Below are 13,785 nucleotides of genomic sequence, written 5' to 3' on the forward strand. Positions count from 1 at the left end.
AAAGCTTATTGAAAAGGTTGCTTATTATGGAGAAAACATTTTGACTTGTGTATTTTATTTTTTCCATTGTTTTCCAAGTGAAGAAAGTTCAAAGAAAGTTTCAGGTTTTAGTACTCAGCTGAATTAATTTCTTTTTCATTTGTTTGACTAACAAACTTTTACATTCACACTGAATAGAATTAGGTTGCCTTACATATAAATTAGTAATGAGATTAAGCAAAATTGCTCTTTATTATTAAGAGTGTTGGCCAGGCATGGTGGCTCACGCCTGTAATCCCAGCACTTTGGGAGACTGAGGTGGGTGGATCACTTGAAGTCAGGAGTTCAAGACCAGCCTGACCAACATGAAACCCCGTCTGTACTAAAAATACAAAAACTAGCCAGGCGTGGTGGCATTCGCCTGTAGTCGCAGCTACTCAGGAGGCTGAGGCAGGAGAATCGCTTCAACCCAGGAGGCTGAGGTTACAGTGAGCCAAGATCACTGCACTGCACTCCAGCCTGGGTGACAGAACGAGACTCTGTTTCAGAAAAAAAGTGTCATGCCTGGCATTGTGGGTATTTATTTTACCACAACCATGCAATCGGGATTATTTCTATGTTTATGACTAAAAGATTCACATTCTTCAAAATTTAGATAACATAACTTCAGTCTGTAGCAGTTTTTCTTTGTAGTAACTTCTTAGAACCATTCAAGGTTGGAATAGAGTTGTCTAGTATAACCAGAAACATAACGATTGTGCAATATTATTTCATCTCAAGGCATTTGGCCTTCATTTCTGAAGTGCTTGGAATTTATGAACTGGAGCAGTGAGTTAGGATTACATAGGAACTTCGGTTATCTAATTCAACGTATCAAATTATTCTGATATCTTCTTCAGTAATTTGAGCTTTGAGGCAGTCATAATGCATGCACTCAAAAATCTTTATACCTAACCCAAGTTTGTATCATTCTTACATAAAACGTGTATTTTCTACCGTCTTGAAGAGTACATGCCTTCTTGTTTCGTGTTCTCAGTTGAATTCACTATGGGGTTCCATCTTCTTTAGATTTGGCAACCAAGATGATAAAATCAGTGGATGACATTTTTTGAAAACTGTTCACTTAAGTGTAATCTGTGTTTACCTAGAGTGCATGTATTGGCTGTTGCTGGCTTAATGGGAGGTTTTAATTTTACTTCTAGTTATTTTATATATAATTATATAATAACTACATAACTAAGCAAATATCCAGGCAATAATTGGTTGAGTAAATAAAATTTCTTTTTCTTTCTTTTTTTTTTTTTTTTTTTTTTTTGAGACGGAGTCTCACTCTGTCGCCCAGGCTGGAGTGCAGTGGCGCAATCTCGGCTCACTGCAACCTCCACCTCCTGGGTTCAAGCAATTCTCCTGCCTCAGCCTCTCAAGTAGCTGGGATTACACGTGTGCCACCAAGCCTGGCTAATATTTTGTATTTTTTTGGTAGAGATGGGGTTTTACCATGCTGGCCAGGCTGGCCAGGCTGGTCTCGAACTCCTGACCTCGTGACCCGCCTGCGTTGGCATCCCAAAGTGCTAGGATTACAGGCATGAGCCACCGCAGCTAGCCTATTTTTCTTTTCTATCTGTTCTGAAGCTGAAGAAATTTGATGGTCTCTGATCAAATATAATTTTTTTATGTATTTTCCTCCAACCTTTAACAAAATTTCTTACATAAAACTACTCTAGGCCAGGCACAGTGGTTCACACCTGTAATCCCAGCAGTTTGGGAGGCTGAGGCAGGTGGATCACCTGAGGCCAGGAGTTCAAGACCAGCCTGGCCAACATGGTGAAACCCTGTCTGTACTAAAAATACAAAAAGTAGCCACGCATGGTGGTGCATGCCTGTAGTCCCAGCTACTCAGGAGGCTGAGGCAGGAGAAGTGCTTGAACCCAGGAGGTGGAAGTTGCAGTGAGCTGCGAATGCGACATTGCACTCCAGCCTGGGTGACAGAACAAGACTCTGTCTCAAAACAAACAAACAAAAAACTACTCTTTGTGTCTTCCATACTTCATCTGGGGTGGAGGTAAAGCCACAAAGACCAAGGATTTACAAACTACCATGAAAATACTTGGTAATGAGGATGTCATTCTGGTCCATAAACGTGTGTATATTTTAGATGATGTGTTTTCATACTGAATGGACTCTCAGGTATCCTTACATAAGTCCTTTAACATTTTCATTTGCTCTTTGTACTACCCTTTACCATCAATGCCTTTTACATTTTCAATAGATGCTAGTTTTTGTTTCTCTTCAAGTACTGATTATTGTTTCTTTGGACCTCTCACTACTTGCTGCCCTGCTGAGAGAATTAGACTGATATTACAAATACATCTAACACTATCTAAAATTCACTGCATTGTTTGGAGATACTGGGTATTGGGCTTATTGTACAATCCCTTGCAAATAACTAGTGCTCAAATATTTGATATGTAATCATACTTGCAGTAGCATGAAAACAGTACTAGGCAAGATCTGAAGAAATTGGCCTCCTAAGTTCTTGTGGTATGGTGTTTTGTATGTGTGTGTAATCCATGTTTTCAATCTAATGTCCATCCTAGAAGGGACTTTTATGGTATTTAAACATGTTAAGAAATAAAGATTTGGGTTAGTAGATATGTATATGGCTTGTACCTGTGTTTGTTTCCTCCTATCTAAATGTCCTATACTTTTGTTGGTAGATCTATTTAGCTGAAATATTATCCATAGTGACAGTTTGTCCGTCTTTTGATCTTGTTTGTTTTAACTTGCATTTTAGTATGCAACCGAGGATGGACTTATACACACAAATGACCAGGCCAGGACTCTACCCAAAGAATGGGTTTGTATTTAAGGGCCCCAGCAGTTAGAACATCCTCAGAAAAGAAGGTAAGGCTTTATGATGTGCAAGTTAAATTATAAAGGGCCAAACAGAGATCAAGATTCTGAAGGCATTTAGAAATCAACTGAGAGAATCCTTCTTTTCTTTAGTGTAATGTAAAATATCAGATATCCTGGAAGGAATGGAGACTAGAATTAAGTTTGTCATCTAGGTACATAGAATCTAAGCAACATTAATGGATGAGAGTTGTTTGTTACTGTGGGGCAAGGGAAAACTTTTCCCTTTGGACATTAATTTACTATCTCTCATGTGGAGTACAAGTTGGGTATTCTTTTTTTTAATTGAGGTAAAAATTACATAACATAAAATTAACCATTTTAAACTCATTTACAACTCAGTGGTTTTTAGTATATTCACAAAATCGTGCAACTACTACCTCAGTTTAGTTCTAAAACATTTTTGTCACTCCCTGTTTTCTCTCCCAATAGCTCCTGGCAACTAATCTGCTTTCTGTCTCTATGGATTTGGCTATTCTGGATATTTCATGTAAATGGAATCATACATGTGACCTTTTCTGTGTTTGTCTTTTTAGGTTCACCCTTGTAGCACGTGTTAATGCTTCATTTGTTTTTATGACTGAATAACATTTCATTGCATGGACATACGACATTTTATTTATCCACTGATGGACATTTTAATTGTTTGCACTTTCTGGCTATTGTGAATGGTGCTGATGTGAGCACTCATGTATAATTATTTGAATATCTGTTTTTAATTATCTTTGGTGTGTACCCAGGAGTATAATCACTGAGTCATGTAGTGATTCTTTTGGATTGGGTATACTTTTTCCTGTTTCTTCTTTTATGTTTTATTTTTATTTTTTTTGAGACAGAGTCTTACACTGTTGCCCGGGCTGGAGTGCAATGGCATAATCTCAGCTCACTGCAACCTCTGCTCCTGGGTTCAGGTGATTCTCCTGCCTCAGCCTCCCGAGTAGCTGGGATTACAGGCACCTGCCACCATGCCTGGCTTTTTTTTTGTATTTTTTAGTAGAGACAGGGTTTCACTATGTTGGCCAGGCTGGTCTTGAACTCCTGACCCTGTGATCTGCCCACCTCAGCCTTCCAAAGTGCTGGGATTATAGGCGTGAGCCACCGTGCCCAGCCTGTTTCCTCTTTTAAAAAGATTGTTGTAAAATATACACAACAAAACTTAACAATTTTAAAGTGTCCAGTAGCATTAAGTGTACATTCACATTATTGTGCAGCCAGGTACCGCCGTCCAGCTCCAGAACTTTCTCATTTTCTCAAACTAACATTCTGTATACATGAAACAAGAATTCTCCATTCCTCCTTCTCCCCAGCCTATGGTAACTACCATTCTACTTTGTCTCTGTGAATGTGACTATTCTAGGTAGTCCTTCCTAAGCAGACTGATTTGTCCTTCGGTAACTGGCTTATTTATTTCACTTAGCATTATGTGTTTAAGTAGATTTGGGCATACGTTTAAATGTGCTTTAATCCAAAATGATTGGAAAGTTTTTGTTGCGTGTCTTTTTCCTTTTCTAGAACTAAATGTAGACAAAAGGAACCCTGATAATTTTCTTTGAAAATAGTCTTCCAGATTAATGTTTTCTCCTCAGTCCCCATTAATCCACAATCTTTTCTTAAAGGATACTGGCATTCTTTGAGGCTTCTTGGGAGATGTAGTTGTAGGGATGTATTTGGGAATTGATACTGGTTTTTCATCATTTTTGAGTTGAGTTTTCTGAAGCTGGCATGCTGGCATGTCATTTTCCAATTCTATTAACATTTTCATGGCTGAGGACCCTGTGGGTTTTAATAATGTGGATTCTAAACTGGAAATGAGGTTGCCAATACTTTGTCATCATTGAGAAATAAGAATTTGCATCTTAGCCCTTTGCTCTGAAGTGTGGAAACCCCAGTTCTAAGTTGGAAGTGAAGATTTTTTTCAGATCTGTCATTTTCGGTGAGGTTTCAGTATATCTTGGTCCTACCAAGGAGTGTCACGTACGAATGCTTTGCGGTGGTAATGGGTGTTCTCTAGTCTTTGTCTCAGTGGTGAGAACACATTGTTCTAGCCTGTTGATATCCATTTTGGTCCATATTTTCTTTTCACATGTTCATTGTTGAACACCATGTTGTTTATGAATTTGATTAACACATAGTCTATATTTTTAAATAAGTATACTGAATAAGAAATGACTGGAAATGGAAGCTTTTGACATTACACCAGAAATGTCCTAAACTGACTACGAACCATTACTCACCACCTCTAGTTTTCTACCCTGTGTTTATATATTTGGAGTCATGACAGAATAACAGATCGGGCGCTGTGTTCAAATCCAGATGTCTGCATCTTTTCATCATAATAAAGTCAGGTTAATGTGCCTCTCTATTGCAAATTTTTAAAAATACAGATCTGGCTAAGAGCAGTGGCTCATGCCTGTAATCACAGCACCTGGGGAGACTCAGGTGGGCAGATCACTTAAGCCCTAGAAATTTGAGACCAGCCTGGGCAACATGGCAAAACCCTGTCACTACGAAAAAAAATACAGAAAATTACCTAGGTGTGGTGGCATTTACCTCCGGCTACTCCGGAGGCTGAGGTAGGAGGGTCAATTGAGTCCAGGAGGTCAAGGTTGCAGTGAGCCATGATTGTACCACTGCAGTCCAGCCTGGGTGACAAAGAGCAAGACCCTGTCTCAAAACAAAAAAAGCATAGATTACTGTGTGAAATACTTGGCATAATTTATCTTATTTAATTATCTTACCAACTCTAGGAGATAGGATTATAAAAGTATTGGGTGCTCATTGCAAAGAATTTGGAACAGAGAGACAGGTATAAAGAAGTCACTAATAATCTCACCACCCAGAAACAAGCATAATAAATACTTCCTTTCATCCTCTCATACCCTCATGCAATTTTGAACCTTGTTTCTTTCCCCTTAACCTTGCATTGTTTTATATATATTTTTTTACCGCCTCCTTATCAATATCAAATTCATTATCATAACCGAGTGGCTCATGTTCTTATAAGTACTTATATCCACAGTTTCATTTGAGACCCACCATAACCCTGCAAAGAGGCATCATGGGCCCATTTGACAGATGAGGAAATGAAACCCAGAGAGGTTAGGCAACTTACACAAGTCATACAGCTAATGATCAAGCTAACAAAAAGATCCAGGCCTTCTGCCTTCACTCTGAGGACGCTTTTCTGTTAACCAAACTGTAGCATGGCAAAGTGCTTCCAGTGGACTGCATGGTGGCTACCGAGATACGTCCACATCCTGATCCCTGGAACCTGTGACTATTACCTTCTATGGAAAAAGCTGTAATGAGGTTCTTGAGAGGAAAATAGATCATGAATTATCTGGGTGGTCCCTAGATACAATCACTCGTGTAAGAAAGAGGCAGAGGGAAATCAGACAGAGACACATACAGAAGAGGAGGCAGCAATGTGACGAGGGAGGCAGAGATGAGAGAGCTGTTGACACAGCCCAGGAGTGTTCCCAGCTACCAGCAGCTGGAAGAGGCAAGGACCTGACTGCTCCCTGGAGCCTCCAGAGGATGCACAGCCGCACTGACACAGTTTCTCATTCCTGGCCTCCAGAATTGTTAGAGAATGAATACCTCTTATTTTATGCCACCCAATTTATGGTAACAGCAGTGACAGGAAACTAACAGTATTTTTAAAAATATGTTAAGAGGGCCGGGTGTAGTGGCTCACGCCTGTAATCCCAGCACTTTGGGAGGCTGAGGCGGGCGGATCACGAGGTCAGGAGATCGAGACCGTCCTGGCTAACACGGTGAAACCCCGTCTCTACTAAAAATACAAAAAATCAGCTGGGTGTGGTGGTGGGCGCCTGTAGCCCCAGCTACTCGGGAGGCTGGGGCAGGAGAATGGCATGAACCCGGAAGGCAGAGCTTGTAGTGAGCCGAGATCGCGCCACTGCACTCCAGCCTGGGCAACAGAGCAAGACTCCGACTCAAAAAAAAATGTGTGTGTGTGTGTATGTGTGTGTGTGTGTGTGTGTGTGTGTGTGTTAAGAGGGCCGGGTGCGGTTGCTCATGCCGGTAATCCCAGCATTTTGGTAGGCTGAAGCAGGTGGATCATCTGAGGTCAGGAGTTCGAGACCAGTCTGGCCAACGTGGCGAAACCCTGTCTTTACTAAAAATAGAAAAAAATTAGCTGGGTGTGGTGGTGTGTGCCTATAATCCCAGCTACTCAGAAGGCTGAGGCAGGGGAATTGCTTGAACCTGGGAGGTGGAGGTTGCAGTGAGCTGAGATCACGCCACTGCACTCCAGCCTGGGCGACAGAGCAAGACTCCATCTCAAAAAAAAAAAAAAAGAATTGAGCGATTGATCTCATGGCTGGCTATAGGATCAGGTAAAGAAAGCTAACACCCACAGCGAGGTCTGGTAAAGAAGTCACACTATTCTGTCTTCTCTTGCCTTGTCCCATCAACCCAGCCAACACACGTTGACTATCCCACTGAATCAGTGGAGATATGCTTCATTTAACCATTCAAGATGCCCACAAGCCTTTCTGGGAAGGAGATTGGGTGTCGGGCTGGAAGAAATGCTTCCTCAGATCGCCAGAAAGGGTGTTTTTCTCCAGTTACTGTTACATTCCAAGTTGCTTTCTTCTTTTTCTTTTTCTTTTTTTTTTCTTTTTTTTGTCCCCATAGAGACAAGGTCTCACTATGTTGCCCCAGTCTGGTCTTGAACTTCTGGGTTCAAGCTGTCTCTCTGCCACAGCCTTCCAAAGGGCTGGGATACCGGCATGAGCCACTGTGCCTGGCCAAGTTCCAAGTTTCGTATCTGTTAGGTCTCAAAGGCAATGTCAGCCCCCAAATTTAAATCTATTAATGATATTTTGGCTTGTACATGGTAGCTTATGCCTGTGCATGGAAGATTGCTTGAGCCTGGAAGTTCAAGAATAGCCTGGGCAATGTGGTGAGACCTCGTCTCTACAAAAAATTAAAAGATAGCCAGGTGTCGTCATGCATGCCTGTAGTCCAAGTTACTCGGGAGGCTGAGGTGGAAGGATGGCTTCAGCCCAGGAGGTCGAGGTTGCGGTGAGCTGTCATCGTGCCACTGCCCTCCAGCCTGGACGACAGAGCGAGAGTTAATGAATGAAAACAAGTTTTACAAACTAAAGTTTTATATTAATACATAACTTTTGCTGTCATGATTATAATAATCATAGGGACATAGGGTTTTTTTGTGTTTTTCTGAGATGGAATCTCACTCTGTCACCCAGGCTGGAGTGTAGTACTTAGATCAGTGTTATCTTTCCCTTTTTTGTTATTGGACTGTCAGCCTTAAGCAACAGGGCTTTGCTTTTTTGATAGGTGTGTTTTCTAGGCCTTCCATAGGATCTGTTCTAAAGAGTTCAGATTACATAAACTTTCTAAATAATGAGAAATTCCTACTGAGAAATTTTATGCAAAAATAACACAGTATTTACCTCTGTCTGGACGGTTACCAGTTAATTACATGAAAAAATATAAAAACTGTATTTGATCATTTTGTAACTTTATGTTGCAAGTTCTTGTGTAAGATGATTAAAAAGAACAAACTTTTTATAAGATCTTATTTTTTCCATTTAGATAATCTGAGTCCAGAATAACAGTAAAAACACATAGGAAGTACTTATAGTTTCCTGAGTAGCTGGGACTACAGGCGCACACCACCATGCCTAGCTAATTTTTTGTATTTTTAGTAGAGATGGGGTTTCACCATGTTAGCCAGGATGGTCTCAATCTCCTGACCTCGTGATCCGCCTGCCTCGGCCTCCCAAAGTGCTGGGATTATAGGTGTGAGCCGCCACGCCCAGCCTTCAAGTGAGCCTTTTACCTTAGCCTCCCTGGTAGCTGAGATTATAGGTGTTCTCCACCATGCCTGGCTGTAGAATTGCAGGGTTTTTAAGGGATTATAGGTTCATTCTGTAGCATATAGCACCAGTGGTGAAATCCAGATATCTTTAAAGACTTCTTTGTATGTAATACTTTAATGACAGTGTATTACAAAATAAAAACATGTTTTAACACAGATCTTATTTGAAAGGGAAATCAGATTTGTAAATGTCTGCAGTTGTAATTCTCAACTTTGTTTGCTATAGCTAAACGGGAAGAGGAAACATTATCTCCTTCTGAGATTGATTGTTTTTTTTTTTTTTTTGCTAGCAGTTAGGAGTCTGCAGTTTCTTTTTGTTGTTGTTGTTGTTGTTGAGACAGAGTCTTGCTCTATCCCCAGGCTGAAGTACAGTGGCGCAATCTCGGCTCACTGCAACCTCCACCTCCCGGGTTCAAGCGATTCTCCTGCCTCAGCCTCCCGAGTAGCTGGGACTACAAGCACACACCGCTACTCCCAGCTTATTTATTATTTTTAGTAGAGACAGGGTTTCACCATGTTGGCCAGGATGGTCTCCATCTCGACCTCATGATCTGCCCGCCTCACCTTCCCAAAGTGCTGGGATTACAGGCATAAACCATCGCTCCTGGCCTCAGTTTCATTGTTACACAGTCAAACTCCACTGGCATTAAAAAACGGTTCGAGAAGGCTAAACGTTTAACTTTAACTTTTCCTGGCATTTCCACATTTTATCAGAATATGAAGGCTTAATTTTCAGCATCTACAAAGATGCTATTTCCTAGTATAAATGTGATAGGAATGAAGAAGTTGGTACTCACTGACTCTAATAACTGACAGTCCCAGGGTTGACTGATGTAGCTGGATCCAAGGGTTTGCTCATCCAAACTCACTCTCTGAGATACCCCTAGCAACACTTGGCCTTCACTGGCCTGGCTTACGTTCATCCTAAAACCACAATGACCTGGGATATGCAGGGCTCTAACTGGCCATGTCTGGGCCCCTTGTTTGGCTCAGTGGTAAAACTGCCTCTTAGGGGCTTGAGATTAGGTGATGGGGCAGTTGTTTTCAATTCAGGTGCTACTGCCAAAAGAGGGGTAAAATAGATACTGATCAATAGTGTTGGGTCATTGATTTTCTTATCTGAATTTAGTGTCAAAGGAGAAGCCTTTCAGCATGTGGTATTTTAAACTGAGTGCCAAATTGTGGTCACTTTGGAAACCACATTTAAAAGATGCATCCTAACCAATATTTCCATGTTTTTTAAATACCTGATATTAGATTTGTACCATTTGTAGAATCTATGTTATTAAGGCAGATTTAATCTTGAAATAAATTAATCTTCATGTGCTTCTGAGACTTTTTTTTTTTTTTTTGCTAGCAGTTAGGAGTCTTCAGTTTCATTGTTAAGCAGTAAAACTCCATTAGACATTTCATACTGGCCATATGAAATAAGACTGAAGTCTAAAACATTCCTGTTTTTCATTTACATGTCAAAGTATGCATAATGGCCATGTGTGGTGGCTCACACATGTAATCTCAGCACTTTACAGTACTTTAGAATGCCAGGCAAGAGGAACACTTGAGGCTGAGTTTGAGACTAGCCTGGACGACATAGGGAGACCCCATCTCTAAAATATATATATATCTCTTTTATTTAGCCTAGGGCCAGGTGTTGTGACTCACACTTGTAATCTCAGCACTTTGAGAGGTCAAGGCAGGAGGATTGCTCGAGGCCTGGAGTTTGAGACCAGACTGGTCAGGATGGTGAGAATCTGTCTTTACAAACAATTTGAAAATTAGCTGGATATAGTGGTGTGCCTGTAGTCCCAGCTGTTCAGGAGGCCGAGGTGGAGGATACCTTGAGCCCAGGAATTTGGGGCAGCAACGAGCTCTGATCTCACCACTGTACTCCAGCCTGGGTGACAATGCAAGGCACCATCTCTTTTTGAAAAAAAAAAAAAAAAAAAAAAAAAAACTGCAGTGAGCTATGATTGGATCATATCACTCCATACTCCATCCTGGGTGATGGAGCTAGACCCTGTTTCAAAACAATATATAATGCCTACTAAAAGTTCTTATTTTAAGGTTGTATGGTATATAAGTAAAATAACATAGTGGAACCAATCTGTATTAGTTTAAATCCTGCATCTGCCCATTACTAACTTAATCATTCTGTGCTTCAGTTTTTCCTTCTCTAAAATGGGGATAACAAGGTAATCTAAAAGGTTGTATGTGGGGATGAAATAAATTTATCCATGATCCATATAAAGGTGCTAATCATCAACTAGTCACAGGCATATAGAGCCCATATGTTTGCTGTTATGTCATGCCTTATTGCTTTTTTTTTTTTTTTTTTTTTTTTTTTTTGAGACAGAGTCTCCCTCTGTTGCCCAGGCTGGAGTGCAATGGCATGACCTTGGCTCACTGTAACCTCCACCTCCCAGGTTAAAGCAATTCTCCTGCCTCAGCCTCCCACATAGCTGGGAATATAGGCACACACCACTACGCCCAGCTAATTTTTGTATTTTTAGTAGAGATGGGGTTTCACCATGTTGGCCAGGCTGATCTCAGACTCCTGACTTCATGTGATCTGCCTGCCTCAGCCTCCCAAAGTGCTGGGATTACAGGCATGAGCCACCATGCCCGGCTCCTTATTGCTTCTTATTAAGTGTCTTAGAAATTATTTGGAATTTCTTATACTAGAATTTAACTTTAAAATTTTGTCTAAATTGTTTTGTTTATTTTGGTAATGATATTGAACCTCTAAGGAATGAATGAAATAGTCTCTCCAGAAAGGAGCTGAGCTGAGCAGGGAGTCGGAAACCATACATGTTAAACTAAACACATGATACTACAAAGGGTAGGAGTGGTGCAGAACGCCAACTACTGTGTAAACCATGGAAACTTCCTTGGCTAGTGCTGTACTCCCAAAGCCCTTGCCATGTAAATGCCAACTATGTCTGTGTGAAATAATAACTTGGACCATCTTAAGGCTTTTTTTCCACAAAGTCCTTGTGGAATTTGAAATCATTTTTGTGGCTGCTGAGAATGACATTTAGAGACTATAACATTTCCTTTTATTCACTTTTTTTTTTTTTTTTTTCAGTGTTTGAAAGATGTATGGTGATCTTGAAACCTCCAGACACAAGAAAACTTCTAGCAAATTCAGGGGAAGTTTGTCTACACTCAGGCTGCAGTATTTTCAGCAAACTTGATTGGACAAACGGGCCTGTGCCTTATCTTTTGGTGGAGTGAAAAAATTTGAGCTAGTGAAGCCAAATCGTAACTTACAGCAAGCAGCATGCAGCATACCTGGCTCTTTGCTGATTGCAAATAGGCATTTAAAATGTGAATTTGGAATCAGATGTCTCCATTACTTCCAGTTAAAGTGGCATCATAGGTGTTTCCTAAGTTTTAAGTCTTGGATAAAAACTCCACCAGTGTCTACCATCTCCACCATGAACTCTGTTAAGGAAGCTTCATTTTTGTATATTCCCGCTCTTTTCTCTTCATTTCCCTGTCTTCTGCATAATCATGCCTTCTTGCTAAGTAATTCAAGCATAAGATCTTGGAATAATAAAATCACAATCTTAGGAGAAAGAATAAAATTGTTATTTTCCCAGTCTCTTGGCCATGATGATATCTTATGATTAAAAACAAATTAAATTTTAAAACACCTGAAGATAAATTAGAAGAAATTGTGCACCCTCCACAAAACATACAAAGTTTAAAAGTTTGGATCTTTTTCTCAGCAGGTATCAGTTGTAAATAATGAATTAGGGGCCAAAATGCAAAACGAAAAATGAAGCAGCTACATGTAGTTAGTAATTTCTAGTTTGAACTGTAATTGAATATTGTGGCTTCATATGTATTATTTTATATTGTACTTTTTTCATTATTGATGGTTTGGACTTTAATAAGAGAAATTCCATAGTTTTTAATATCCCAGAAGTGAGACAATTTGAACAGTGTATTCTAGAAAACAATACACTAACTGAACAGAAGTGAATGCTTATATATATTATGATAGCCTTAAACCTTTTTCCTCTAATGCCTTAACTGTCAAATAATTATAACCTTTTAAAGCATAGGACTATAGTCAGCATGCTAGACTGAGAGGTAAACACTGATGCAATTAGAACAGGTACTGATGCTGTCAGTGTTTAACACTATGTTTAGCTGTGTTTATGCTATAAAAGTGCAATATTAGACACTAGCTAGTACTGCTGCCTCATGTAACTCCAAAGAAAACAGGATTTCATTAAGTGCATTGAATGTGGATATTTCTCTAAGTTACTCATATTGTCCTTTGCTTGAATGCAATGCCGTGCAGATTTATGAGGCTGCTATTTTTATTTTCTGTGCATTACTTTAACACCTTAAAGGGAGAAGCAAACATTTCCTTCTTCAGCTGACTGGCAATGGCCCTTTAACTGCAATAGGAAGAAAAAAAAAAAGGTTTGTGTGAAAATTGGTGATAACTGGCACTTAAGATCGAAAAGAAATTTCTGTATACTTGATGCCTTAAGATGCCCAAAGCTGCCCAAAGCTCTGAAAGACTTTAAGATAGGCAGTAATGCTTACTACAATACTACTGAGTTTTTGTAGAGTTAACATTTGATAATAAAACTTGCCTGTTTAATCTCAATGTTTGCGATTTTTTTTTTGTTTTGTTATTAGAAGAATTGTACTGATGGAAGTACATAGATAAGCCATCTCTTCCTAAGATGGTGGTAGGGTTTTTCTCTAAACTTATGTATAAAAGCTACCAGTGATAAATCTACTCAAGATGGCCTGGCATGGTGGCTCACACCTGTAATCCTAGCACTTTGGGAGGCTGAGGCAGGTGGATCACGAGGTCAGGAGTTCAAGACCAGCCTGGCCAAAGATGATGACACCCCATCTCTACTAAAACTACAAAAATTAGCCAGGTGCGGTGGTAGGTGCCTGTAGTCCGAGCTACTTGGGAGGCTGAGGCAGGAGAATCGCTTGAACCCGGGAGGCAGAGGTTGCAGTGAGCCGAGATCATGCCACTGCACTCTGGC

The 13,785-nt window shown here is 40.2% G+C and overlaps 1 protein-coding gene across 7 annotated transcripts in view; it reads left to right on the top strand.

The window, feature by feature from the left end:
* ESRP1 (epithelial splicing regulatory protein 1) overlaps positions 1-13,388 on the top strand; it is a 66,293-nt gene extending 52,905 nt beyond the window's left edge. For 4 of the 7 annotated variants that reach the window (XM_005250991.4, NM_001122825.2, NM_001122826.2 and 1 more), the window contains one exon: positions 11,847-13,388. In XM_005250991.4, coding sequence (XP_005251048.1) covers positions 11,847-11,867 — 21 coding nt within the window. In that variant the 3' untranslated portion in view covers positions 11,868-13,388. Of the gene's footprint in view, positions 1-2,773; positions 2,884-11,846 lie in introns of those variants that run through there. The other 3 variants (NM_017697.4, NM_001034915.3, XM_047421916.1) reach the window with 2 other exon arrangements.
* Positions 13,389-13,785: the final 397 nt, after the last annotated feature.

Source organism: Homo sapiens, chromosome 8, assembly GCF_000001405.40.
Source record: "Homo sapiens chromosome 8, GRCh38.p14 Primary Assembly".
NCBI lineage: Eukaryota > Metazoa > Chordata > Mammalia > Primates > Hominidae > Homo > Homo sapiens.